Source organism: Homo sapiens, chromosome 10 (assembly GCF_000001405.40).
Source record: "Homo sapiens chromosome 10, GRCh38.p14 Primary Assembly".
In the NCBI taxonomy this organism is placed as follows: domain Eukaryota; kingdom Metazoa; phylum Chordata; class Mammalia; order Primates; family Hominidae; genus Homo; species Homo sapiens.
Genome location: NC_000010.11, coordinates 124669068 through 124695518, shown reverse-complemented (window position 1 = coordinate 124695518; position 26451 = coordinate 124669068). Strand labels below are relative to the sequence as shown.

At 51.4% G+C, this 26451-nt stretch overlaps 1 protein-coding gene across 1 annotated transcript in view, besides 9 other annotated features; it reads left to right on the top strand.

Moving 5' to 3' along the window:
• Positions 1-26451, top strand: part of FAM53B (family with sequence similarity 53 member B) — a 125087-nt gene that overhangs the window by 48860 nt on the left and 49776 nt on the right. Inside the window, exon 4 of the mRNA NM_014661.4 lies at positions 13140-13912. Coding sequence (NP_055476.3) covers positions 13140-13912 — 773 coding nt within the window. The remainder of the gene's footprint in view (positions 1-13139; positions 13913-26451) is intronic.
• Positions 2393-2584: a silencer, noted in NCBI's record as "fragment chr10:126381504-126381695 (GRCh37/hg19 assembly coordinates)". NCBI's record gives its function as "represses an EF-1alpha promoter that drives an FKBP-Casp9 reporter gene in an ReSE screen in HepG2 liver carcinoma cells {active_cell/tissue: HepG2}" and the evidence as "EXISTENCE:reporter gene assay evidence [ECO:0000049][PMID:32094911]".
• Positions 6537-6616: an enhancer, noted in NCBI's record as "active region_4175". NCBI's record gives its function as "activates an Ori minimal core promoter by ATAC-STARR-seq in GM12878 lymphoblastoid cells {active_cell/tissue: GM12878}" and the evidence as "EXISTENCE:reporter gene assay evidence [ECO:0000049][PMID:35858748]".
• Positions 7244-7745: an enhancer, noted in NCBI's record as "H3K4me1 hESC enhancer chr10:126376343-126376844 (GRCh37/hg19 assembly coordinates)". NCBI's record gives its function as "activates a minimal SCP1, AML or CMV promoter by ChIP-STARR-seq in naive H9 embryonic stem cells {active_cell/tissue: H9 hESC(naive)}" and the evidence as "EXISTENCE:reporter gene assay evidence [ECO:0000049][PMID:30033119]".
• Positions 8319-8398: an enhancer, noted in NCBI's record as "active region_4174". NCBI's record gives its function as "activates an Ori minimal core promoter by ATAC-STARR-seq in GM12878 lymphoblastoid cells {active_cell/tissue: GM12878}" and the evidence as "EXISTENCE:reporter gene assay evidence [ECO:0000049][PMID:35858748]".
• Positions 9243-10214: an enhancer, noted in NCBI's record as "H3K27ac hESC enhancer chr10:126373874-126374845 (GRCh37/hg19 assembly coordinates)". NCBI's record gives its function as "activates a minimal SCP1, AML or CMV promoter by ChIP-STARR-seq in primed H9 embryonic stem cells {active_cell/tissue: H9 hESC(primed)}" and the evidence as "EXISTENCE:reporter gene assay evidence [ECO:0000049][PMID:30033119]".
• Positions 11953-12062: a silencer, noted in NCBI's record as "silent region_2912". NCBI's record gives its function as "represses an Ori minimal core promoter by ATAC-STARR-seq in GM12878 lymphoblastoid cells {active_cell/tissue: GM12878}" and the evidence as "EXISTENCE:reporter gene assay evidence [ECO:0000049][PMID:35858748]".
• Positions 21442-22065: an enhancer, noted in NCBI's record as "H3K4me1 hESC enhancer chr10:126362023-126362646 (GRCh37/hg19 assembly coordinates)". NCBI's record gives its function as "activates a minimal SCP1, AML or CMV promoter by ChIP-STARR-seq in naive H9 embryonic stem cells {active_cell/tissue: H9 hESC(naive)}" and the evidence as "EXISTENCE:reporter gene assay evidence [ECO:0000049][PMID:30033119]".
• Positions 23705-23999: an enhancer, noted in NCBI's record as "tiled region #1593; K562 Activating DNase unmatched - State 8:EnhW". NCBI's record gives its function as "activates a minimal TATA promoter and a strong SV40 promoter by Sharpr-MPRA in K562 cells {active_cell/tissue: K562}" and the evidence as "EXISTENCE:reporter gene assay evidence [ECO:0000049][PMID:27701403]".
• Positions 24338-24871: an enhancer, noted in NCBI's record as "H3K4me1 hESC enhancer chr10:126359217-126359750 (GRCh37/hg19 assembly coordinates)". NCBI's record gives its function as "activates a minimal SCP1, AML or CMV promoter by ChIP-STARR-seq in naive H9 embryonic stem cells {active_cell/tissue: H9 hESC(naive)}" and the evidence as "EXISTENCE:reporter gene assay evidence [ECO:0000049][PMID:30033119]".

Sequence of the window (26451 nt, the reverse complement as noted above, 5' to 3'; positions counted from 1 at the left end):
TGATTTGCTAGGATAGTTTCCAGGAGTGGAATAGACAGGCTGGAGGGCAGGGACATTTTTAAGGCTCTTGATTCATTTTGCTGACATGCCTTCCAGAGAAGATTGCCTTGATCTTCTGTTTCTGTGCAAGTGTGAATTACTGTTTTTTATAGGCGGTAAAAAAGATGACCATTGATTACTTGATGCTTCAGATGATTGGGCATTGTTTGACCTCTCAGTGTCTCTCTGTGGCTCTCCTTGCCCACCTTTGGGGACGTCTTGCCGGATGAGTTTCTGTAACGTCTGCGTGGACTCAGAAACCACTCTCAGATGATAGATGATGATGACTGTGGGCTTTCAGATTCAAAGGTTACTTTGGTCAGACCTCAGAGTCTCCCTTGCCTTTCCTTCTCGGTCCTCCCTCCATGTGCGGTGTTTTGTTTTTCTTCTTCAGATACAGTTGCCATAGATGAGGTGATGTGTCAGATTGAGCACTGTGCCAGGCTCCTTACATGCTGGGCCCCGCTGGCTCTGCCAGTGGCATCATTCACATACGGGAGAACTGAGGTCTAGTGAGGTGGCCCTCTGCAAGGTCCCTCAGTAAGCGGAGTTGGACTCAGGTGGGTGACGAAGGGAGACTGTTTTCTTCTCAACCACCTGCCATGGCTCTGGGACACCTGGCGGTGCTCTTGATGCTGCCACTGAAGAAGATGGAGACAGGGAGATCAGCTGGCCCTGGTTTTCCATGTGACATACTTGGGAGGCCCGTCCCCACAGGATTGAATACCTCCCCGGTGGTTTACAGCTTTCAGCAAACCCTCAGGGCCCCAGACACATAGCTCAGAAGCCTGCCTCCTCGCCTGCTTCCTGGGACAACCTCACCTTTGCGCTTCCTTCCTGCGTCATGCTGGGAAAGAGAGAGGCCCCGGCATGCCCAGCCCCTCAACCCTGCCTAGGCTTTAGCTGTCAACCGGGCCAGACCAGTAAACTGGGTTGTGGAGATGTTGGTCTTTATTTCAAGGATTTCTAGTCTTTGCACTGTGTAAGTTATAATAAGGTGGAAGTCTGGTGGGTTTGTGATGACAGAGAGAGTCGCCCTTGTAGGGCCAGGTCTTGAGGCCCAGAGACCAAGGCAGAGGCCCCGGAGAAGGGAGGTGTGTGGGAAAAAGTCCAGATGGCCCAGGAGAGTCTATCGGAGGCTGCAGAGCCCAGCAACCTGCTTTCTACCGGGGAGGCCATGGTTTCCAGGAGGGACTACGCTGTGTCTGCAGACTCCTGTTTACAGAGTGGCTCTTTAGGAAGTGCTGGCTGGGTCCCAATGCCTCCGTCCCAGGCTCTTCTCCTCTTCAGCAGGGTCCTGTCTTCCTTCTGCTCTGTGGGACAGTGCCAGGGCACTGCCAGGCAGCAGAGGGAGAAGCGGGGAGCCGTTGTACTGGTGGGAGGTCTGTGGAGTCCCCTTGTTCTCCTCTGCTGCTCTCTCTCCATGGGTCTCATCTTTCTGTTGGTCGGCCCCTCCCTAATTCAGGAAAACCCTGACCTGCATGGCTGTGCATCACTGACGTGTTTCACTGACTGCAGTTTGTTTTCATTTTCAGTGGCTTGCTGTCATAGATATGACTTGAGCACCTGCTGTGTGTCAGGCACCTGGTGAGGGATAGAGTGAATCAGACCCTGCCCCTTCTCTCAGGGAGCTTTCTGTCTGGTGGAGGAGAAAGATCAACGAACAGTGAATTCTGCACTGCTTAGGCCAACTCCCGTGAGATGTGGAGGCCCTTGAGCTATGGGGATACCACCCCATCTTCCCGGCTAGGTTTCCTCAGTTTGCAAGTTGTGAGGATTTAAGGAGACGGCCACACACTAGCACACATCCTCCCTCCCACCTCTATCCCTTTCCTGCGCTTGCTGGAGCGGAGCGGGTGTCAGCAGTCAGGAGCCTTACCCCGTGCACTCTGTCTAGTGGAAGCTCAGGTTACCTCTCCAGTCCTCCGTGTGCTCCATGAACTGGGAGTGCACTCCACCCAGGCAGCGAGATTTCATCTGAGGTGTGCCTGCTTTTCTTTTTTTTTTTTTTTTGAGACAGAGTCTCACTGTCGCCAGGCTGGAGGGCAGTGGTGTGATCTTGGCCCACGGCAACGTCCGCCTCCCAGGTTCAAGCAGTTCTCCTGCCTCAGCCTCCTAAGTAGCTGGGATTACAAGCGTGTGCCACCACGCCCAGCTAATTTTTGTATTTTTAGTAGAGACGGGGTTTCACCATGTTGGCCAGGATGGTCTTGATTTCCTGACCTCGTGATCCGCCTGCCTCAGCCTCACAAAGTGCTGGGATTACAGGCGTGAGCCACCGCGCCCGGCGTGCCTGCTTTTCAACAGTGGGGAAGAGAATACTCTGAGGGGCCGGCTAGACTTTTCAAGAGGGTTTTGGGCCCTTCCAGCGCTGGACAATGCTGTGCGAAGATAAAACACCAAATTATCATAATCACCAACCCCCAGCCTGTCTCCTGAAGATAAAGGACTCATGTTCTGGTGCTGATCAGTGGAATTCTCCCATGAGAGCTGGGGACAGTTGGCCCTGTGACTCAGGATTTTTTCCTCCTGAGCCCCCATGCCAGGGTCCTCGCTGGGAGCCAGTATGAGTTCAAGTTTCACAAATGTTCTGCAGAAAATCTGGGCAAGTGCAGTAGAGCAAGGAGCACAGCACCCTGGTCACTTTTTAAAATGCCACCCTTTCAAGTAGCTCAGCCTCCTCTGCACCCACTTAGATAAAACACATAACTAATATAAATTGAGTGTTCACAACAATGCCTTTTTTTTTTTTTTTTTTTTTTTTTGAGATGGAGTATCGCTCTGTCTCCTAGGCTGGAGTGCAGTGGCGCATTCTTGTCTCAGGGCAACCTCCGCCTCCTGGGTTCAAGCGATTCTTCTGCCTCAGCCTCCCGAGTAGCTGGAATTATAGGTGTCTGCCACCATGCCCGGCTAATTTTTGTATTTTTAGTAGAGATGGGGTTTCACCATGTTGGTCAGGCTGGTCTCGAACTCTTGACCTCAGGTGATCCACCCGCCTCAGCCTCCCAAAGTGCTGGGATTACAGGCATGAGCCACCGCGCCTGGCCTATGCTTTTTATTTATTTATTTATTTATTTTAATTAAAAGCACTTCACGCCCTGTGATTGCAAGCTGGATACCGGGCCCCTCCCCACTCTTGTCCCCTACCCCAGTTTAGGAACTTGATACAGATAAGTGGTTTTGTTCTTCTCAGTGTGGAAGAGAGAACAAAGCCAGCGTGAAGCGTGGGTGGGAGAAGCAGATAGGGTAGAGCTGAGTGCTGCCCAGCCAGCCCTGCACCAGGGCTCAGTGCCCCTTATTAGGGTGCCAGCTCAGCCGCCACCACAGGGCTCCTGCCAGCGGAGGCTGTTTTGACTCTTGGCTTCCTTTCTCATCTTCCAGAGCATCCCCAGTCCACCTTCTTTGCTGAAATGGAATTTCCTCTACAAAGCTTCTCTGGGAAAGAGCCATTTATATGACTGGTTCTTGTGCTCTCGACACAGGAAACATGGGTCAGGTGGCAGCTCCGTGGTGCGGCCCACCCCCTGGTCAGCCGGCTGGGTGAGGGAGCCAGCCCTTGCTCCTGGCTCTCATTTCTAGTGGGTACAAAGAGGGGCCTGGGCTGTGGCTGAGAGTCATCCTGTGTGGGGAGAAGCGGGGCCACGCGTGGACTCTCAGTCAAGGCTCCCTCCACATCTTCTCCCACTTGCAGTGGGGGACCCAGGGTCACACGTGTACTAGTTTGATCTTTTTTGGTGAAACAGGGCAAGTGGAGTGAGCGCAGTCTCCATTCACCACCCTTGGCTAATTGCAGCCATTCAGTGCATTTGTATTGCAGGGACAATGGACACCACACATTCCATTTTCCTCAGCACTCAGGCGAGGAGGAGACCTGGAAATCACATCATATGTAAGAAAGCGAAGGCAATACCAATTATTTTAAAAAGGCTACTAGGAAAAGTCTTGTAAATACAAGTCAATGGACAGAACAAAACAATTCATATGCTAAAAAAAATTGGATGGAAACCCATAATTACTTTAGGAGTTATGGTAATAAATTATTTATTAATGTAAATTATTTCACAGGCAAAGAACATACAGGAAACTTGAGCAGAAGGATCATACATTATGTATAAAAAGGAATTGTAAAAATATTATAGCAGCCCTCCTTGTGCCGCCCCAGTTCAGGTTTGTCCGCATTTTAATTATAAGCCCTTACTTTCAGGGTTTAATTACTTGGCTGTTAAAGTCTACTCTGTACATAAAAGGGTTGTTCCCTGGGGCACTCTCTGTATTAATTTCTACAGGGTAAACCAGTTGGCTGTGTTGAGCTGGGGAGGACTAAGAGATTTTGCTTTGAGATTTGGTAGCTTTTGGTCTTTAAACTCAGCCACTGTTTGTCATGGAAAGTGGAAAATGATTGCGCATTGCAGGAAAAGCGTGGCCCTCAGAGCTTGAGTGCTTTTGATTCTTAGAACAAATAAACGAAGAATCAAAATGAGTGACAGCAATAACAAAATCAGAGCTTCTCAGGCCCAATTTTTGGTCTCTGCCACTTTTTCTCTTTTGCAGAGACAGCCATTTTGAATGTGATCTTTGGGCCAGGTCCTCCAGTAAGAGACTGCTCATTAACCAGTGTAGGCTAGAATGAGATTTGTTTTCATTGAAAAAAAATTACATCCATATGTAAGTATGTATATATATATGACTTTTTAGGGTTTGCTTTATTATTTTTATTTTTATTATGGTCATATGTGTGATTTTTAAAAATCTCTAAAATAGTTTGTCCATAAAGGGTATGTAAATTCTTCCTTGTACCATTCATTGGTTTCAGGCAGTTTTTCAGGAATAATAAAGCACAGAATGGAAGTAGATGTAAAATGTGGTTGGCACATGGTAACTGTTGCCAGTGACGAGTGAAGACAGAGCTTCCCAGGGCTGCCTTCTTACCCAGGTTGGGCTCACCTGATGGGGAGGGGACCACAATAGTGCCAGAGGACAGGGAATGGCCACTGCCAGCCTGTCTGGGTGCCATGCCTTCCACATGAAGAAATGGTCAAGTTAGGCAGCCTGGCCCAACTGCAAGAGCATGACCTTGGGTCTACAGACTAGGTTGACGTCTGGGCTCTGTCATTTGCTGGATGTGTGTCCATGGGGGAGATGTGACATCGTTCTGAAGCCCAGTTTCCCCCATCAGTCAGATGGAGATTGCTGTGACAACCCATGAGATGAGTCACGTGCTTGGGATGCACATTCATGCTCTTTCTCAGCTTCAGCAAGGACCCTATTGGAGTGTTAGCTGATTAACAGTAAATATGCATTTATTGACAGTTTCGTGAAAAGCTCTGCCTGTCGCCAGTTCCCTCGTCGGTTTAATGGCGCCCCGCTTTGCTGTGTACATCAGTTAAGAGATGCATCACCAGCAGCTGCCCGTTTCACTTGCTCTGTGCACACCCACAATCAGGATGGAAATCCAGAGGAGATGGACCAAACTGACCTTGTTGTCCCTTCAGAGTTCTTGTTGCCAGTGCAAATACTAGCTGTTCCCTGTACATTTATGAACGCCTGTGGGAGCTGAGGGGTAGAATAGGAAGTCCTGGTCAGACCCAAAAGGGCTGTCACAAGACCCTAGTCTACCCAGCCTTGTGCAGATGGTGAGATTGAGGCCCCTCTTCCCAGTGCCCCATCTGGTGTGGTTTTTAACTGTGAGGATCTCACTGGGCATCTTTTTGTAAGAGCAAAGACTTCCCAGAAGCAGTGGCAGCTGCCATGGGCCACCCCAACTCTGCTGGTAAGGGCAGGGCCCTGGTAATGGCTCTGAACCCCGATCTTTGTCCTTAGTAGCTTCTTTGTCACCTCCCAGAGTCCTGCAGACCCGCCTGCCTTCTTCCTTGGATGTGGGGCCTGATGGTGCATTACCTCTAGCCATCGGAATCCCTTGTTCCTTGTGCCTTGTGTGAGGAACTTGGTGTCCTGTGTTGCTGTCCCCGAATCCAAGACACAGCTGCCATTTTACAGTCCATCCCAGGTGCGTGGGCAGGACCTGAAGCTGAGGCCTGGCAGGCAAAGCCCGAGGACTTTTTGTTCCTGACACTGCTCTGAACTGAGTCTCCTTCTGGTCATACAGGCAAAGAGACTCTCCAGGGAGCCAGAGGCTCTAAAGTCCATTTAAAAACAGATGAGACGATTGTGGGGGAGCTCATGTCATTGCCCTGCTTGTGTCCCCCCCACCCCCATGTTCTTTTCGTAAGATCAGTTTAGCAAAACCGCCTTCAGAAAGACACCTCGGCTCTCTTGATTTTCCCATTGATGGGTTGGTGAGCTTCTCCCCAAACCAAGCATAGAATCTTTGTGGCCCTGAGGCCAAGTTAGCACAACCCAACCTACAGGGCAGGGGAGAGATACTCATTGTCAGCACAAGTAGATAGGTGTGAAATGTAAGAATGAGTCAGCTGGTTGTGATCTGACAGCAGGCTTGCTAATCGGGGCATTTCGTATCTTGGTCTGTACTTGAGGTGCTTAACCTTTTCTGGAAACCACATTCTGTACTTATGTGACCATAAGGCACCATCGAAAACATAGCACAGAGCTCTCTAGGGCTATAAAGCTCCTCTATCTTTTGAAAATATGAAGGTTTATAGTCCCCCAAGAATCTGGAGCCCTGGGAATTTTCCTTCAAATTTAAGGGTAGGAATGGAAATAAGAACATTTGAGGTCAAATGCCATTCGTATTCCTCTGAGTGTTTTTCTTGCTTCAAGCTCTAGGATCTGTGCACACAGCAGTCTTCTGCCCTTCTTAGTCAAACGGTGGCAGGACCAGAGCCTTGTGAGTGCGAATTTGGGAATTTGAGTCCTTGTCTCTGCATATGTAGGCAACTCATTCTCCTGTTCTTTGTGGCATAGTCAAAAGTCAGAAACTGCAAGCTCAGTCATCAAACCTCAGCTTTGGAAGAGACCTTGCTTACCTAGTCTGTCCAAGACTGTGAGAGAACTGGGCCCAGGGATGCTTGTGTGTTCACCCTCCCATCTGCAGGCAAAGGCTCTTGTGTGTTTACGCTACACACAAATGCACACGCTCTCGTGTGTATCATTTCAGACTTGTGAAGATAATGCTCAGTGGGGACGTGGAGAAGCTTTACATGCCCTAAAGGCTAAAGCAACAGGCGCAGCATAGAACTGAATGGGCTGGTGCCATGCTCTCAGGCTGTGGGCCATCGCGCTCTGCTCAGGTCTGCCAGGGGCTTGGTGTCAGGCTGCAGATGGATGGGGGGCCCTTCTGCGTATCTTTAGGACACAGCTGATGGGCCCTTGCGTGTTCTCAGGGAGAAAGTGGGAGGCTTCACACTCATCTTGTTCATAGGAGTGAGTTAGCTTCTAAGGCCTTTGCTAGTGGCTGTCCATCAAGAGCATGTTGTGTAGCTTGAGAAGGAAGCCCTGAGGGTCCCCATCCTGTCCTGTGAAACCTCTGATGGGTGAAGTGATCCTTCTCCATACTTCTTCCTGGAATTAGCCCAAACCAAAACATAAACACCAACTTTCAGTGTTGTTATGAATTCAAATTTGTAGAGACCAGAATTGTCAACCCTCCTGAAGCTTCTGGGCAGTGGTGCTGGATGGTCTGGATGGGCCGCCATTCGGACAGATGTTTGAGAACTCAGTTCTCCATGTCATCTGCTTTCCAGAACAGCATTTCTCAACATTTTTGCATTGAAATAACCTGGGGAGCTTATTAAGATGCAAATGCCTACCCAGAGAGACTCTGATTTACCAAGTCAGAGACGGGGTCTAGAAACCTGCATTTTAACAAACACCCCCAAAGGATGCTCCTGTAGGTGGCCCAGAAGTCACACTTTGAGAAATCCTAGTCAGAGAAGCCAGGTTTCCATTCCAGCCGGATTCCACAGAGGCTGGCACCCTGTTGCAGCTCTGGCTGAGTCAAGCCTCAGCTAGGAGAGCGTTTTCCAGTACCGTTAATTATCCTTATGATGACTGCTGTTTTTGAGAGCCTACTCTATGCCCTGTATGAGATGCCTATTTAATTCTCATAATAGCTACGAGGAACTGAGTAACTTACAGAGCTGAGGTTTGAACCCAGGTCCTTGCCCTTTCCACTACACCAAGTGACTGTTGCTCAGTAGACTCCTACATCCATGACAATTGTGACTTGAAAGAGTTATAGTTGTTTGTGCAGAAGTGATATTGAATGGAGGGGGCGGGGGCACCCTGTATCCTCTTCTCGGAGGCCTACCGAGGCCCTTTGTATGGTGTGACGTCAGGGCCTAGCGCTTGGGGCAGTTTGCCATGAAAAATTAGCTTCTATTCCTGTTTCTTTTGTCTGGTGATCTGACCCAACAAATCGCTTTCTGTTCCCTGAGCGAATGGGGAAAACACAGGGCTAAACATAGCCTTGATTGTTTTTACTTTTCTCGTATTGTACTTCTCAAAGCGATAAAGATAGAAACAATTACAATATTATCTGCCTGCAGACTGAGCAAGTGGTCACCTGGCTGGTGTTGATACACAATAGCAGTGCTTTGCTTTTCCAAAGTATTTTAGACGTGACTCTGTCAACCCCATCTCCTTGCTGAGTCACACATGGCCACATGGCCCAGGTAGGGCAGACGGTTCAGGGCACAGTCCTGGTTGGACTTACCTGGCCAAGGAAGACTCACCTTTGCCAAGGACAAAAGACAGGTGAGTCCCAGAGAACACCGCATCCTCTTGTAGCTTTTATCTGCAGTTTGCAATCCACTACCTCATTCATGCACCACCAACTAAGGTCTGCTGTGTGCCCTGCTCTGTGCTAGGCACTGGGGAGCCACACTGGGGCTATGCTTGAGAGTCTGTGGCTTAGGAGGAGAAGTAGATGTGTACGCAGATCAGTAATTAAAGTTCAGGTACATACGTGCTGTACGATCACAGAGCTAGGAGAAAGGTGTATCTTCAGAGGAGCTTTGAGTTGGCTTTTTAAATGAGGAGACTCTTGGTGAAAGGAAGATAAAGGCAGGAAAAGAACGGTCCAGGCCTTTGCAAAGGTGTGGAATGTTCTTTGCAAAGGAGTGAAAGAGCTGATGTTTGGGGGAAGCTGCAACTTCTCTTCACAGTTAAAAACTGACTCTTCGAATCTTCCCTACGACAAAGAAATCTTATAGGCCTTAGAGGCTTACTCTGTAACACAGAAGGAGTAGGTCCTGTAGGAATTCATCACCCAGCTCTGATGCCCCTGGGTTTTGGTAGTTACCTCAAGGCCCAGCAAGCTGGACTTCCAGCCTTTCTGCATATAGATCTTATCTGTGCTTGTTCCTGCAGTCTAGTTATTAAACTTTAGTTTTATAAAGAATCGCTGGTGCATAAGAATTACCCTTTTGGGTTGTCTACACAAAGCTGGGGGGAGGAGTTGTACTTTGTGGGCTGGTTCAGGAATTCTTCAAGGATGGTTTTGACTCTATATGATTCTTTTCTGACCTCCACTGTCGTAGGAGGTTTGATACCTGGAGTGTAGGGTTTGTTGTGGGGAATGATGTGGAGATGGGCCCGGGTGCCAGTCTGAAATGCTTGTCTTCTTTCCCGGAAACAGTGGCTGACAGCTGAAGCGAATGGGCCACAATAGGTGGGGGCTTCAGAAAGTTCTCTAGAGGCAGTGAGGAGGTAGGCCTGGAGTAGGGAGGCCCTGAGGGGTCCCTTCAAGAAGCACCAAGATCGCAGGCTGGCCATGGGAAAGGAAGGCAGATGGGAGGGATGGTGTGTTCCTATTTAGCTGGCTCCCGATTCCCCTTTTGGAAGTGATTTCCCTAGAGATGGGGAAGATTCCAGGCCAGTGGTGCAAAAATGGAACAGAAAATGGTATCCTCTGAGAGTGGGATCAACTCCTTTTCATGTCACGGGTTTCCCCGAGGCCTGGCGGAGACGCAGTCTGTAGTATGTCTCAGGCTCCGTGAGCACCGGCCACCCTCGCTGCTCTGTGCCAAGCCCATTGGTTTCTTCCTCAGCCGGCCACATTCCTGGCCCATCTGGTGCCTCAGTGCCTTGTCTCAAAAGAGAAGTTAGTGGCCAGCATTTTGTATGGCAACTTCCTGAAAACCCAGAGGAGCCAACCCAGCAGAGGGCGGGCTGTGGGCCCCCGCTCCGACCCTGGCTCACTTCCTGAGTTAAGCAAGGGCACAGCACCTGTGGGCTTGGCAGTCACATCCCCCACATATTCGATAATACATTTTTTCTCATAGGACATTTGGAGACTATAGAAGAACAAAAGAGAAAAAATAAATTAACCAACCAGCTGTCTGCCAATCCACTATTAACATTTCGGTTTATTTCTTTCTTACCTTTACATACAACAGACATATTTTGCTAAATAGGAATCACACCCTCTATACAGTTTTATATCCTGTTTCTTCATGCTCAGCTTTATATTGTTAGCATTTCCCCACATCATTTAATATTCTTTGAAACTCTGCTTCTTCATGCTCCATGTTATTCCTTGATAATTTATTTAACCGGCCCCTACTGTAAGACGTTTTAACTATGTTTACCATTTTGCTGTCACTCATCATTTTGATGAACATCATCATACATAAATCTTCACTTTTTTCTTAGGATAACTTTCTGTTTTCTTTTAAATCAGATAACTGGGATAGTTGTGACTGTGTCAACAAGAGTTTCTATTTCCTTTAATTTTACTTTATAGCTGGTCACGGTGGCTCATGCCTGTAATCCCAGCACTTTGGGAGGCCAAGGTGGGTGGATCACTTGAGGCCAGGAGTTTGAGACCAGCCTGGCCAACATGGTGAAACCCCATGTCTACAAAAAATACAAAAATTAGCTGGGCGTGTGGTACATGCCTGTAATCCCAGCTACTTAGGAGGCTGAGGCACCAGAATAGCTTGAATCTGGGAGGTGGAGGTTGCAGTGAGCTGAGATTATGCCACTGTACTCCAGCCTGGGCCACAGAGGCAGGTCCTGTCTCAAAAAAAAATTTTTTTTTACTGTATATTAGTTTATTGGACTTTCAACTGCTGACCAGTGTCAAGTTGAAACTGATTTAATAGAATGGTGAATACCCAAAGGGAATGGTTTCCTTGGTGGTGAAGCATGTTTGAACAACCTAAAGCAACTTGCAGGAAGAGGTACTTTGGATGATTTTTGGACGTAATTGATCCAATCCAGTTGGAGGAGCAGATATTGAGACCTGCTGTGTTCAGGCCCTGGGAAATTTCAGAGATGAGATGAACGATGTATGATGAAGAAATTGGATGTTTAGCGACAGTCTTGCTTTGTTGCAGCTGGCTTGCCTGGGCTTTTGGAAGGTTTCTCTCCTGCATCTTCAGCTTCTGAGGCCCTCTATGAATACAGCCTCTGGACAGTTCTACCAGTGTCCCCTGTCAGGGTCCCCAGCCCCTCAGTTTGTATCTCATGACCTTGGCAGGATGCCCAAGAGGAAGGAGTACCACCGTTAGCTCTGCTGACCTTGGCAGGATGCCCAAGAGGAAGGAGAACCACCATTAGCTCTGCCTCGGCTTTTTCTCTGGGCTCCTGGCCCTCCCTTTGGTCTGCACAGGTCATTCCCGTTGAGTCAATCAAGTAGCTGCTGCTTGTGACGCTCAGCTGGGGTATGTCTCTTGGTGCCCTTTGAGGAGTGGCCACTGGTAGTGGAGATAGGTTTGTAGTCCTTGCTGCCTCGAGCACTCATGGGTTAAATCTCAGTTTTCTGCACCTGAGCCCATCTTGCCTGACCCATAAACTCCTTAGGGCCAGGGCCAGAGTCAGGCTCACCCACAGTCCACCTCAGCGCTGCAGTGTAGTGAAAAGGGCCTGCGCTCTGGGGCCTGACTAAGCTGGGTTTACATCCTGTCTGGTGTTAGCTGTGTGGCCTTGGGCTAGTTGCTTAGTGTCCCCCAAGCCTTGGTCTCCTGATCTGGTCCAGGATGGTACATGCACTCAGGGGGCTGTGTGGATTACACAGCCCAGCTGAATGCTCAGTGAGTGATCTGCATTGCTGAGAGACCCGGCGTGCATTTAAATACCTACCAAATATCATTTCAGGTTTCACTTCTATTCTTCTCTTGACTGACTCAAGCCATTCACATGTGCATGATTTATAAATATATATAGGCTCGAGAAAATAGTACTAACAGGTTGTTCCCTGATATCATGGCATATTTTGTAACTTTGCTTTTATACTGTAAACTTGAATACAAGAACTATGTCAAATTTATCTTTGCATCTCCTAAAATTCCCAGCACGGTGCCTGATTCCATAGTAGAAAAACAATAAATAGTTCTTGAATATTTCACAAAATAAAGGTTCGTGTGCAAATGTAGCATTTCATAGCAGGGTTGGTTATTTATTTGTGTATTCAAGTAAAGACCTGAATACATAAGTTTAAGTGGTTCCCTTAAGTCTGTGAAGCCCAAGACTTGTTCTTAGAGATTTTAATTGCTTTAAGTGAAAAATCGAGTGAACACAGAGAAAGTGCTGTGATTGGCAGCCATTGGTGACGCTGATGTTGAGCATTTTGACGGAGGTGACCTAAATCAGTACAAGTTCCAGCTTCTATTATCAGCAAAGGCTTTCAAGGTGGAATTGGGGTGAACTAACCTGGCAGTGCCCCAGCCATCTTTTGGCCTTGGCCATCCGAGCTGTTGAGACATCTTTGGTTGTGGTCTTCTGCCAGGGCATCGAGTCCCAGTCCTGAGAGCTGCAGAGAACCTGGTGGCACTTAACAGATGTCTTGTCCCGACTCTCTCATCAGCCAGGGGCAGGGTTCAGGGCAAGTCGATTTCCCACCCATAAGATGAGAAACATTTTGGATGAAAAATATTGCTTTGGATTCTCCTGGGAGGCAGTGTGGTACACTGGAAAGAAAACCATATCAGGAGTCCCAGGGGTATATCTGGATTCTAGGCCCTGCTCTGCTTCCAACTTCCAACTCAAAGCCTTGGGATTCACTTCTCCTCTCTCAGCCTCAATTTCTCATCTGTAAAATGAGGTTGGACTGGATGGTTTCTAAGGGCCTTTTGGCTCTAAGATACTGTGTTTGAAACGGGCTGTTGGTGTGGAGATAATAAAGGGCTGGAGTGAAGGTCTTCTCAAATCCTGTTTTCTCCTTGTCATTTATGAACCAGAAAATGACAGATGGCGAGACCTGGACAGGAAATGCCCTCTTCAGATTGACCAACCGAGCACCAGCATCTGGGAATGCCTGCCTGAAAAGGACAGCTCACTATGGCACCGGGAGGCAGTGACCGCCTGCGCTGTGACCAGTCTGATCAAAGACCTCAGCATCAGCGACCACAACGGGAACCCCTCAGCACCCCCTAGCAAGCGCCAGTGCCGCTCACTGTCCTTCTCCGATGAGATGTCCAGTTGCCGGACATCATGGAGGCCCTTGGGCTCCAAAGTCTGGACTCCCGTGGAAAAGAGACGCTGCTACAGCGGGGGCAGCGTCCAGCGCTATTCCAACGGCTTCAGCACCATGCAGAGGAGTTCCAGCTTCAGCCTCCCTTCCCGGGCCAACGTGCTCTCCTCACCCTGCGACCAGGCAGGACTCCACCACCGATTTGGAGGGCAGCCCTGCCAAGGGGTGCCAGGCTCAGCCCCGTGTGGACAGGCAGGTGACACCTGGAGCCCTGACCTGCACCCCGTGGGAGGAGGCCGGCTGGACCTGCAGCGGTCCCTCTCTTGCTCACATGAGCAGTTTTCCTTTGTGGAATACTGTCCTCCCTCAGCCAACAGCACACCTGCCTCAACACCAGAGCTGGCGAGACGCTCCAGCGGCCTTTCCCGCAGCCGCTCCCAGCCGTGTGTCCTTAACGACAAGAAGGTCGGTGTTAAAAGGCGGCGCCCTGAAGAAGTGCAAGAGCAGAGGCCTTCTCTAGACCTTGCCAAGATGGCACAGGTAAGAGCCCCAGCAGCCTGGAGTCACCTTGGTGCTCACTGGAGCCTCTGCTGGTTCTGGGCCGTCCTAGACAAGCATAGATTGCCAGTTTCAGAAATACCCAGGAGTGGGTTAATTTCCTTGTTTTTTTAAATCCTATTCAAAGAAAGATTATTTCCAGTTGGTTTTTAAAAAGCGTTTATTTCTATTTACAAGCAAATATTCCCTTTCACTGTGAGCTCAGTGCTAGGGGTACAAGGGCAGGTGGATGGTGAGAGGCGGGGTGTTGGTGGGCAGACTCACTGGACCAAACACTGGTAATCCCCTCCGGCCCTTCACTGGAGCCGTCTCTCCCAGGAAGCCACCCCTGCAGCTGCTGCAAGAGATATACACACACACTGGGGTTCAGTGTCCCTTGGATTATGCTGATCCTGAGATCAGGGTTGTGGGTAATGGTTTCCAAGAGCTAGCGATTGGGGGGACTTATTCCTTTGATTATACTGTTGAAACATGAGGCCATCAGGATGTTGTGATCAATATCCTCTGAGCTGCCTCTGCAATCATCCTTGCCCTTCACTGTAGAAGAAGTATCTGGCCACACGCCCCTGTCACTTGGACTTTATCCTCTTTGTCTTGGAGCTCTGCCTTGTGCTAACACTGATCTTGGATATTGATTTGAATGAGATGAACTTGGAGTTAATACTCTGTCATCAGGAGCGTCTCTGAGCCCGAGAGTTGGCTGCATCTGGTTCTGGCTGGGGATGAGGAAGTGGTGCTGGCCCTTGTGACCTCTGACTCAAGGATGGGCGGATGTGATGGGACACAACACTGTTGGTTCTGTGTTCATCCAGGAGGCCATCGGTTGCTTAATGCCACGGTCTGACCATCATCTTTTCTGGACTTATTTATATAAACATTGGTCTCGCTGGGTTTCAAGGGGTAAAGATCTTCTTGTTGACGAAGATGGTTTCAGAGGGGTTGGTTGGAGGGGATGGCCTTGGTCACTCAGCATTATGGCCAGATCCACGGCAGGCAGGCTTATCACGCTCGCTGCGTTTCAGGTGGGCATAGCTGACTTCCTTCCAAGCCCAGTGTTGTTCTCTCAGTTGGGTCTTCTTTCCTTTTACAAAGAACATGCAGTTTCTCTTCATGGGGTTTTGCTCTTCTCTCCTTTAGTTCCTACTCCCAACATAGAGGTCTACCCAGAAAAGAAGAGGTGCAGGTGTCTTAAGTCTAAAGCATACCTGGCCCCAGAGTCCAAACTTTCTGGCCACCTTTGTTCAAGAGCCTGGGCACTGGCTGGGGCATTATGGGAGGGCAAGATGGTGGTATGCTTGTGCCTCCCCTGTGTCAGTGGGATCCGCTTGGGGGAGAGCCTGAAGGGGTGTGGGGCAGAGCTCTTGCCTCTTCTCAGCTAGTTTCCATTTCTTCCATTGTGGCTCTAGGCGTGTGCCAATCTTTTTGCTGTGTAGTGGAACGTTTTTGACTTTACTAGCTGGACAGGGATTGAACACATTTATTGGACACCAAGAGGAATTTCCCTTCTCCAGAAAAATTTAAATAGGTTAAAAGTCTGGAAAGGTGACAGATTTGGGTGACTTCTGAGGAAAACCAAGAGCCCCGAGTTCTGGGTATGATAATGGCTTCAGCTAAATTTTTAATACTGAGCATATTTTATTACCTAATCAGCTAGATAGGTAACAAAAACAACATGCATGTTATTATATTTTACTAGCCACAGTTGGAATAACACCACTGGCATCATTGGAGACATTTCTTGACCTCGTTTGGTTAGAAACTATTTAAAAATACATTGCTCAGTGGGGCTGCGCCCAGTTGTATAGATGGCTTCATCAGCCCCAGGCAGGCCTCCCAGATCTGGGAAGGTGTGCGGAGCCTGAGGAGGCTGCTCTGGTTCAGCCTGTCTGTCCTTGGCCGCCTGCTTGGCAGTGGGTCTCGGGCACAGGGAAAGTAGAGAGGGGCCTCTGGAAAGTGTGTGTGCCCAAGGCCTATGGCCAGAGCCCTGAGGCTGGGCCCGTGGACGCTGAGCCATGCCCCCACCAAGAGTCTAGACCCTGGTCAGCCCTCTCTCCATGGGGCTCTGCCTGCTTTGGCTCTGCCATCAGATGATTTCTAGCCTGGGGAGGTGGACCTTGCTTTTCTGTGGGGCCCTGAGAACGAGGCCTAGGGTATCCCTGTGTATTTATCAAGAGCCCTGGCGAGTGCACGGCCTTGTGCGTGGGAACCTGATGAGCTGGGCATGTTGCTGGTGTACAAGGACTAACGTGTTGCCAGATGGCCAGTGAGGTGAGACCACTGGCCACAGACCCCAGCCTCTGCGTGCTGTGGCTTCACTCAACATTTGGGACCACTGAGAAGGGGTTGGGGTCTGCTCTGCATGCCCATGGAAGCAAGGCTTGGAGTTGGGCTTTCTGTATCTTTGGAAGGGTAGGCTGGTACCCAGGTGTGGCCCACGCTTCCTTCCGCTGGGCTCTGGCTTCTCTTTCGTGGGCCTTTTGATCTTGGTTTACACATTCGCCTTTGGGGGTGAGAGCTCCACTTGTGCATTCTTGTAAAGGCGCCCTTCGTGTGTGGGTTCTGAGGCCAGGTGTGTGAGAGCCTCGGGTTAAAGCTGCAGAGGGCCTTTTCAGTTAGACCTTTGGAGCAGCTGGCCATTCTGAAAAGCTGCAGCTCCCCTAGAGGTCCCGACTGGGGCCTAGAGCAGATCTTGAGGGTGTGTGTGAGCACACGGGGGCTTCCCTCTGGCCATCATTCGGTGTGGCCAGATAGACTGTGGTTAGCTGGAGCCCCTCCAATCCGCCAGCAGGAAAGGGTCCAGGGAGAGAACCCGAGAGAGTAAGAGGGCAGGAAGCTCTGAGGTCCAAGGCCCTGCCCTCATCTGTATCCACAGTTGAGTTCAGCAGGAGCAAGTGCCCTGGGGTGTAGACTCTGCTAGAAGCAGAGGATATCAGGAGATGTGACCTCAGAGCTTGTCCATTCCAGTCTCTCTTGAGGAAACTGAAGATCTCTTGGTCCCTGTGCCCATCAGAGTTTTTCTGGGCATGGTGTTCACTTTTGGATCTGCATTTAGAAGGTGACATTGACAAACCAGAAGGCCTCCAGAGGTGGGGCCAGAGACTGGAAGCCCTAGGCAAATTGCCTGACATGTCTGTGCAGCAGATGCCACCACCGCCACAGGACTGTGGGAGGAGCAAGGGAAACAACATGTGTGGATAATGCACTATCCATATGGGTGTGTGTTTATATATGTGTATGTGTCCACATCTGTTGATATGCGTGTGTGTGTATCTGTATCTGTATGTACACACACTCCCCCCAGTGCATTGGCTGGCACAGGCCGGGTGCTGACAGATACTTATGATCATCGTCACAGTCGCAGGACTTGGAGGGAGGGTGTGGGCTGTTTCTGGGTGTCTCCAGAGGCAGAAGTAGGAGCAGAGGGTGGACATTCCTGGGAGGTGCCCTCAGTCTGCTGTAAGAATGCCTGTTTTTCTTTGTTTGTCCAGTGTTTTCCCTGTGTTTCCATCCTCCCTTTTCTGTTCACGCCACTTTCTTTGTCTTGTTTGTTCATCTTCTTGCCTCTTTGCTTTTCTTTTGTAAATGGGAAGGAGGCCTGCCCTGCAGCTCAGCTCAGCCTGTAGTCAACTCGGTGTTCAGAGCCCAGGGTTATGAAATGGTGACAATTGGATTCACCCCCCCTTGTCAGAGGGAGTTCGCCGTGTGTGAGCATTCTCCTGTCTGTTGCCCTTGAAACTAGGGTGGAAATATCCTGGGGGCCTGCTGGCCACCCTGCCCCTTCCTAGCCACGTCCCTGGGGCACAGCTGTCCAGTTAATGGCAGTGGGGGCTCTTGTCTGTCGGGGATGAGACACACAGGGTGGGGTGTAGATATTGCTTTCAGATTGTCTTTGCTCATGTCTTCTGAAAACCCCAGTGCCAAGAGAGCAGGCAGAGATGCTGAATGAGGCTGCAGGTGAGCCGGCCATCTGGATCCTGAGTCGGGGAGGCTGACTGTAGCGAGGAAAGCCCTAATGGGGGAAATGACGCAAGGACCTAGTCCAGCAGTGGCCGCCCTCCCTGTACTTGTAATTACAACCACTTGGTTCCACAGAGCAGGTTGTCCAAAGGCAGCTCAGAGGACTGGCTATGCTGCGATCCCTGCGCAAGCCCGGCCCCGTGGGCCTCCTGCACAGCTTTCCTCCTTACGTGGTGTTTTTGGCCCTCCTGGCTGGTGTTCTCTGTGAGGCTGCAGCCTTCCTTTTGCACAATGACAATGTCTGCCATTGAAGGCAGGGCCCAGCCTGAGGGTGTGAGTTGTTTATTAGCAGGACTTTTGCTGACATTTTCCTTACTGCTTTTTTGAGACCTGGTTTGACCACCCAGCATTGGTTGGCTCCCAGCAAGACTTGAGCCATACGCGGCCATTTAGACATGGATCACGTGTGTGTGAGCAAAGATTTCAGAAAAAAGCAACAATTAAAAAGTTCACCCATTGAATGCAGTCCCCCTAGGTGTCATAGTCCCTGCTGTATTTTTAACTCCAAGCTGGTCAGCTTGAAAGAGCAACAAATTGTACTTCTCAACAGTGCTTCAAACAGAAGCAAGATGTTTGTGGGGAGGGGTCGGGATGTCGAAACAGAGGTTTGATTGATTGCGGCTGCCCACACACTGAGTCCCCGAACCTCCCTGAGCAGGCCTCAGAACAGGCAGCAACTGTTGTGTTAGCAGATGTTTGAGGGACCGTGAAAGCTGGCCAGGGGCAGTTTGGGGTAGAAAAGAAGCATGAGAGAAACCAGCATGCCAGCACGTCTTTGGGAAGCCTCTGAGAGCCGTATTCCTGGGGGTGAGTCCAGGAGAGCTGGGTGGGCGGGGCCGCAGGGACTGGGCAGGATGAGGGGTTGCTGCAGGAAGTTGGGAGAGCTTGTGCGTATGCTCATCAGTGACTCGCAGCTCTTTGCTGGACAGGTCCTCCCCAGGTGAAGCCCCCCCAGCCAGCTTCCACTTTCCATCTTTTGTGCTGGTGGGGCCGCCTTTGAGGGACAGTGGCCCTTGTTGGTCGCCATGGGGTTGGCTACATGACTTCTTGCGCTGGCACCCCCAGCAGCTGCAGGCCAGCTGTGCCTTTCCTTGGCCAAGTTCCTGTGCGGCAGGCCCAGCTTGCCTGCACCTTTGTGACTTTTCCTGTCCATCCTGCCAGTGGCTGTTCACCTTCAGCTGCTTAGGGTTCCCACCGCCCTGCACCCTCAGCACCCTTCCTCTCAGGGTGGGAAGCTGTGCTGACGGCAAGTAGAGGAATTCAGAGGTGGAGCACCCCTTATAACACAGACTGCAGACAGTGTGAAGATCTAGTGAGAGAGGTAGGCATGGAAAGCCCTAGAAAGCCCATTGCAATGAAAGAAATGCTAAATACAAGTAAAGGCAAAAACTTTTGTGGGCAGGCACACGAGAGTAGTTGCTTCTGACTTAGAGATAGTTAGGATAGGCTTGAACAAAGGAAGAGAGCCTGTAAGACCTGGGCTGTCAGAGTTTAGGGATGTCAAGGGGGCAGCTTTGGATGCTGAACTAGCACTCCTCCTTCCGTGCTCTTGACAGACATTGCTAATCAATCACGGCAGCCTTTTCAGGTGAACTTAGTGGAGGTCTTAGAATCCTCCTCTTGGCAGTCTTGGCAGCCATTGCTAATTGATGGGTAATTGAACGTCATCCACCATCTCTGTTCTAATCCCCTCACTTGAGGATGAAGCCTCTAGAGTACAGGAAGAGTTGGGGCCTTGCCCAAAGTCACATGGTGAGGCACCTCGGAAGGTGGGAACCCTGACCTCTTGACCCCAGGCTCAGTGCTCCCACTGCTGTGCTTGGTCCTGGGTGAGGACCAATCAGCTGGCCCTTCCAGAGGACTGATGCACATGGGGCATAGAGAGTGTGGCAGTGAGAAGTGGGAGCTTCGGAGTCAGATAACTGGGGGTGTGTCCCCATTCTGCCACTTTTGAGCTGTGTGCCCCAGGCCTCATGTCTGTGTCTGTAAAATGGGAATGGCAGTGCCTGTTGCTCATGAGTGTGGGAGGAATCATGTCGCATGGATCTGGCACACGGTTGGCACTCAGCAAATGCCAGCTTTGATGAACAAAGAAAGCCCGGGCCTGCTGCAGCCTTTCTTCTGTTGCTCCCATGGTAGCTCGCCCCACACCCTCTGCTGCTCTGGGCAGTGTCCTGGGCTCTCCACTCTTGGTGGGCCGGGATCCTGCCAGCTGTGGCGCATGCTGGCATCAGGCTTCCAGGAGACTAGTTTCAGCTCTAGTCCTCATCTTCCCTGCTTCCCTTCCTTCCTTTCCCTCCCTTTCTTTCCTTTCTTTTGACGGAGTGTTGCTCTGTCACCCAGGCTGGAGTGCAGTGGTGAGATCTCGACTCACTGCAGCCTCCGCCTGGATCCCTCCTTTCTGTCTCTAGTCACAGCCCTCAGGTTGCACAAGCAATCTGCTTAAGGTCACTGGGATCGGGGCCGAGTGTTGCCACAATAGCTTTGATCTCCTGGGGAAGAGGAGTTCATCTGGGGACTGCTAAGGAGGCAGCTTTTAGTGCCACTTGGTGATTTCCACGCTTCAATTGAGAGCCATCCTGAGCAGAGAATGTTTGAGAAGCTATGAGACTCTGGGAGGCCCCGGCTCTCTGAAGTAGGGGCCCTTTCCTAAGCCAGCCGCTCAGATGAGAGCCCCGGCCATGCTGGGAGTGCTCTTGGCTTGCCAGGCCCTGCTCTGGTGCTGGCAAAGAGGCTTGGGAGGCCCTAGCAGGCGCTGCCCTTGGGAGGCCACAGCCTATGGGCCAGAGGGAGAACAAGGCCTTACCAGCTGAGGCCTCACCACATCTGAGGACATCGCCAGTCTTGCTTCATGGAAGCCAGAGTAAGAAAGGCTTGTGGGTCAGCTGGCTCTTGCCCCTTTGACTGGTTCAACTCCAAGGGCCCACAGAGGAGGGTTTAGAGAAACCCTAATGTCGTTCCCAGGCTTCTGAAGGAGAAGCAGGGAGCGTGGGCTGAGACGAGGAGACAGAGGGCTGGTGGGAGAGCAGGGCCTCAGCCTGGAGCCCTGCCCATGGAGTGAGCCCCATCCTCATCCTGGACAACTGATGGAACCTCTTCATGGTTCATTTTCCCCATCCTCGAGGAAGGGTGGCGACACCCTCTCTCACTGTGTTAAATGTCTCATTAAATGAATTCATTTGTATGAAGCGCTTGGAGCTTAGTTCTGTGTGCCCAGGACACGTGCTCAGTAAAAGTTGGCTGCCATATTGGGAGTCACACTTTAGGAGTAAGGGGAGAAATTTGGCAAAAGGAGGGGCCTGCTGCTCATCCAGTGTGAACTGTCCTCCCCTCAGGAATTCTTTGTCTCTGCAGCGCTGAGGTGCTCTGCCGCATCCCTGCTCCCCAGAAGAAGGCCTCACCTGAGGGCGCAGCTGAGTTGTTGAGCGGTGCTGCTGGGGTATGAGTCCCGGGCTCTGTAACTCTGAGGGCAGGGTTTTGCCTTATTGCCACGTGGTAGAGGCCTCTCATATCCTAAGGGAAAGAGAGGTGCACTGTCGTTGGAACACAGCTGCTGTTGGAGTCAGAAGAGCTGGGTTTGAGAGGCACTCTGCCACCTGGCTGTGTGGTGACTGTGAGCCCGTTGCCCTGCTTCTCTGAGCCTTGGGTTTCTGACCATGCATGCATCTGCCCAGGTGTAGCCATGGGCGTCAGGTTATCTGGGAAGCCAACACACTGCAGGTTCCTAGACGTTGTCCAAGAGAGTCTGAATTAGCAGGTCTGGGGCAGAGCCCCAGTACCTCGGGGTCCCAGAAGCTCCCTAGGTGAGTCTGGGGCTTGTGGGGGCAGCAGAGATGGGCACATTCCTAGCCCAGTGACTCCACAGATGCCCAGGGACTAGTTTTGTGTCATATGGAGATGGCATTGAGAGTTCAGGTCCCTCAGTCAGGAGGTACCAGCTCAGCCTGGATTAGGAAGGGCCTGACCTGGAGGAGGGATCCAGGTCCTAGGGCGAGTGCCCACTGAGCTGCTGTACCCAGCAGAGCAATGGTGTCCCCGCCTGCCAATGAAACTTCCCATGCAGGAGGGCTCGGGGTTAACTTATGCTGAGTCGAGTACAAGGCGCTGCTTCAGAAATGTCTGGAAAGCCTGTTCTAGTATATAGGGTTGAACGTTTCCGAGGCAAGTTCTCATGGGTGGGTTGTTAAGGGCAAGTTCCACACCCTGTTTGATATCCTGCCTTGTGTGCAACGGCAGAGTGAATGAATGACAGGAACCCTGAGTGCAGAGTAGAAGCATTAGAGGGTTTTAAGCAGGGGAGCAATAGCACCCCTTAAAAAGCTCCTTTGGGACAACAGTGAGCAGCATGGACTGTAGGTTCTGGGGGAGGTGGGGAGGCCAGGCAGGAGGCTATTGGCAAACATGAAGGTGGGCTAGACAAGGGTGGGGGCAGTGGAAGTGGTGATAGGCATAAGGGGCTCAAGAAATGTTCTCGAGGTGAAAGCAGCAGGGCTGGCTTCCAACTCACCCTAGTCATAGGCCTCACTGGGCAGAGAATCAATTATCCTAATCCCCAAAGGTGGCAACTTTCTTTAAGCTACCCTGTTTAGTGTGTGCTCATTGTAAGTCCCTCTTGTTATTTAACCTGCAGCCCTCACTTTGACTGTATTTCTTCTTGATCTGTTCTCAGTAGAACTGAAATCCAGTGGATCACCATGACCTATTTTGTCTCTGTATGAAGGTATCTATGGGACTGTCTTACCCCCCAGTCCTTGCACATCTGTGATTTGCTAGCCCAGCTGCTCCTTGCCACTGGGGAGGCCCCATTCCTTACCCTTTCCTGTCAGCCCTCAGTTTGCAAACCTCTGACTCCTTTGCCCAAGCTTCTCTGTTCTTGTCCATTTGAAAGTGGCTGCGCATTCTGAACTCTGGGCTGGAGAAGGGCTGGGGGCAGCTTAGGGCCACAGGAGGATTCTTTCATGGTTTCTAGCGCTTGTCACGCTGGATCTTGTCTCAGCTGTGCCACATCTGGTCAGTTTACAACAGCTGGGACAGCAGCTCCGGGAAACAAGGGGCCTGTGATGGCCTCCTCGATTCTCCTAATGAAGCCTAGTAATCCCCAGCTGGGCCTCAGAGGATGCAGCGAAAGGGAGGCCTGGCCAACCCCAGGAGGATTTCGGCATTCCCTGCCTTATTCCTGCTTCCTGATCCGGGACATCAGGAGAACGCCTCGTGGGAAGCCCCTCCCAGCCCGAGGTTAGCATGGTGCCTGCGGGCTGTTGAGAGCCCAGTGAGGGCCAGAGCAGGAAGCACAAATAGGTGCATCACGGAGATGGGTGTGGGATGGAGACGGAGCTGTGCCCAGAGCCCAGCACGGCTGGTGCCTGACCGGGCCTTTTCCCGACACCATGCAGGCTGCTGCCCTTTGTGGGTCCATCAGTGTGAAGCCTTTACTTTAGCCCACTTCGCCTTTGGCAGCATGAGCCTCTGTCGCCCCAGGCACTGCATCAGTAGAGAATTTCTCCTGCTGACAGGAGCCCATTTATGTACCATTTTTGTGGTATCAGCCATCCGGAATTACCACTCTTTCTTGCAACTTCAAGCCACAGTCAAGAAATCAGAAAGCAAATGCCACACGAAGAACAAACCCTTTGCTGCAGTCCCCATGCTGGCGGGAACTTGGTTTGACTAGACTCAGAGTGGGTGTTAATTGCCTATTTATGGCCAAAAGATTAACAATGCCTCCTTTGAAAGTTAGACATAGTAGAGCTCTTGGATAATTCCTTTTTGGGAGGGGGAGGAGTGGCTTAAAAAAAAAAACTCTTGGAAAACAAAAGCAACAGTTGGTTGCAAAATATAATGCAACCACCAGAGGCTTAGTTTGTGAGCAGTAACGCGAGCTCACATCAGTAATGTGTCACCAGAGGTCATCAGGCACCCCACCCTCTCCCTGAAGGGCCACAGACTGCATTTACTCCTCATGGAGTAGTGGTGGCGGTATGGAGGCCCCCGCTGTTTCCCTGCTGGAGCTCTGTGGGTGGAGTGGGTGAGGCAGGCCTCCTGGATCAGCCAGGGCCTGTTGGGGACAGAAACCAGCCCGTTAGATCCAGGTGAATTCACTGTGAGCAATGGTTAGCTAGGTTTCTGAAAATCTGAAAAGCCAAGAAGAGAAAACGAAGTATTAATATCATGCAGAAGCAGCTACAGGAAGCTGCTCCCCACCTTGGGCTAGGGGACCCCAGGGCAGAGACTGCACTTCTGAAAGCTTGGCAGCGTGGAGTCCATTGGCCGCACAGGGCTGGGGCAAGACCTGAGAGGCAGGGGCGCCGGCTAGCTGGTCCCGCAGAAAGGGAAGGTGATGAAATTGGTTCTGTGAATGTTGGAAATGCAGCAAATGGGAAGCAACTGCTGTGAATGGAGCAGATTGCTCCTGCAGGTCACGCGGCATGGCTGGGTGACGGTGACAGCACAGGAAGCAGACGGGGAGATGTACGGCTGCCTCTGTCCCCCAGCCTGGCTCTGCTCAGCATCCTTCAGTTAAGCGCTGTCTAACGTTCTCCAGCGGGGCGGGAGATCTCTTCTAGCGCGCATCGCAGCTCCGTCCTAGTTCTTCACTCAGCAGATCCTTGCCTGGAGTGTGCTGGCCACCTGGCATTCAGCTAGGCCCTGGGGATGTTTCTGCAATGCAGAAAGGGGGATGGATGTCATTCAGGCCTACAACAGGCAGGCAGGGCCCTTTCTGATGGCAATATTTGTGCTAATGAGAATCCAGCAGGCCAGCGTGGTTTGGATCACCAGGCAGGATGAGAGGAGGTGGAATGGGAAGTGGCCAGCTTTAGATTGGAGGGACAGGGAGGCCTTGTTGAGGAGGTGACATTGGCACAAAGTCACAGATGATGAGATGTGTTCAGCTTTGCAAAGATAATCAGGGAGAATGTCCTGAGTAGAGGGAAGGCAAGCCCCAGAGGTGGGAGTGGGTGTGGTGAGTGCAGGGCATGGCGAGGCTGCGGTGACTGGGGTCGGAGTGGGCGTGGTGAGCGCAGGGCACAGTGAAGCTGGGGGGACAGGTTCCTGAGTCGGGGGTGCAAGGGATGCTTGAGATGTCGGCAGGGCCATCACGGTTGGCCTTGCAGGCTGGGGTGAGGAGCGGGCTTTTTGCCTGGAGCGCAGGGTTGGAATGCCATCAGGGCTCTGGGGCCAGGATCTGATGGGATACTCAGTCACCTGCCTTACCTGACTGCTATGCTTATCTTCCACCTTGGGGGTTCGACCGCAGACGGCCCCAGGGAAACCGGTTCAAGGAGGTCACGGCAAGAAGGCACATGAGGGTGAAAGCATACCAGAGAGATGCTTAGGCAGGGCCCCAGTGTCGGGGACAGGCTCAGAGGAAGTTAGTCAGGCACCTCTGCAAGTGCCTCTCATGGTGATGAGTGTCACCGCCCGCCCTCTGTTGCTGGACAGTGGCAGCGAGTGGCCTGAGGCTCACAGGGGTGTCTGAGTTCTCCCCTCCCATATCTGCACACACATCAGCCTCACCCTGGCTCTGGGAAGTGGGTCACTAACTCCTAATCCACGGGCCGGTGTTTGCAGGGCGTCCTCCCTCGGGTGTGTGGTCCTCACCCACCCTGTAATCCTCACCCACCCTGTAATCCTCACCCACCCTGTAATCCTCACCCACCCTATGGTCCTTACCCACCCTGTAATCCTCACCCACCCTGTGGTCCTCACCCACCCTGTGAGGGGCTCCTCCTGTTCTACTTTCCAGGGAAGAAAAGGGAGTGCCGAGGCCATGTACTTGCTGGCTGCGTGGCAGAGCGGTGAGTGGGATCCACTCACTCTTTGGCCCCGACAGCCCGTGGGCCCCCATGTCTCCATAGGGCTCCCTTCCTGGGGTGAGCTCCCCACCACTTGTGAAGCACAGGGCCCCGGGAAGTCTGGGATTTGCCCTAGGCTTTGGGTTCCCTGACGGTCAGGTAGGGATGGTGACATCCTCACGTGGGGCTGCTCCCAGCCTTTGGCCCAGGACCTGGTGCTCAGGTGGTGCTCAGAATGTGTGGCTGTTACTTACCACATCCTCCGGGCCCATCACCTGATGGATCAGTGAATCCCCGGTGGCCCTGACTTCTCCTCCCAGCCCTTGAGCAGACTCTGCATTTCTTGAGCTATGAGCAGGCTGGTAAAGCCGGGCACGGGGCTCAGAGAGAGGCTCTGTGGCCAGCACCATGGCCTCTCTGGAAGAGCGCTTTAGTTCTGCCTGGCACTGCGGTTCAGCTGTCCTGTTGTATAAGTCCGGGACACGAGGGAGAAGGGCCCAGTGATCTGGTGCTCTGCCACACTGAGCGGAGGTGTGTGGACAGTGCGCGTTACATCCCTCAAGTGGACACATCCAGAATGTGAAATAATCCTCTTACTGCCCAAAGCAGAACGTTTGTGAACCATTTTTTTGGTGACTTTGCTGAAGACCTCTGAGCCCTTGGCCACTGCCTTCTACCCCCTACACCCCCCAAAATGGCTTGTCTTGAATG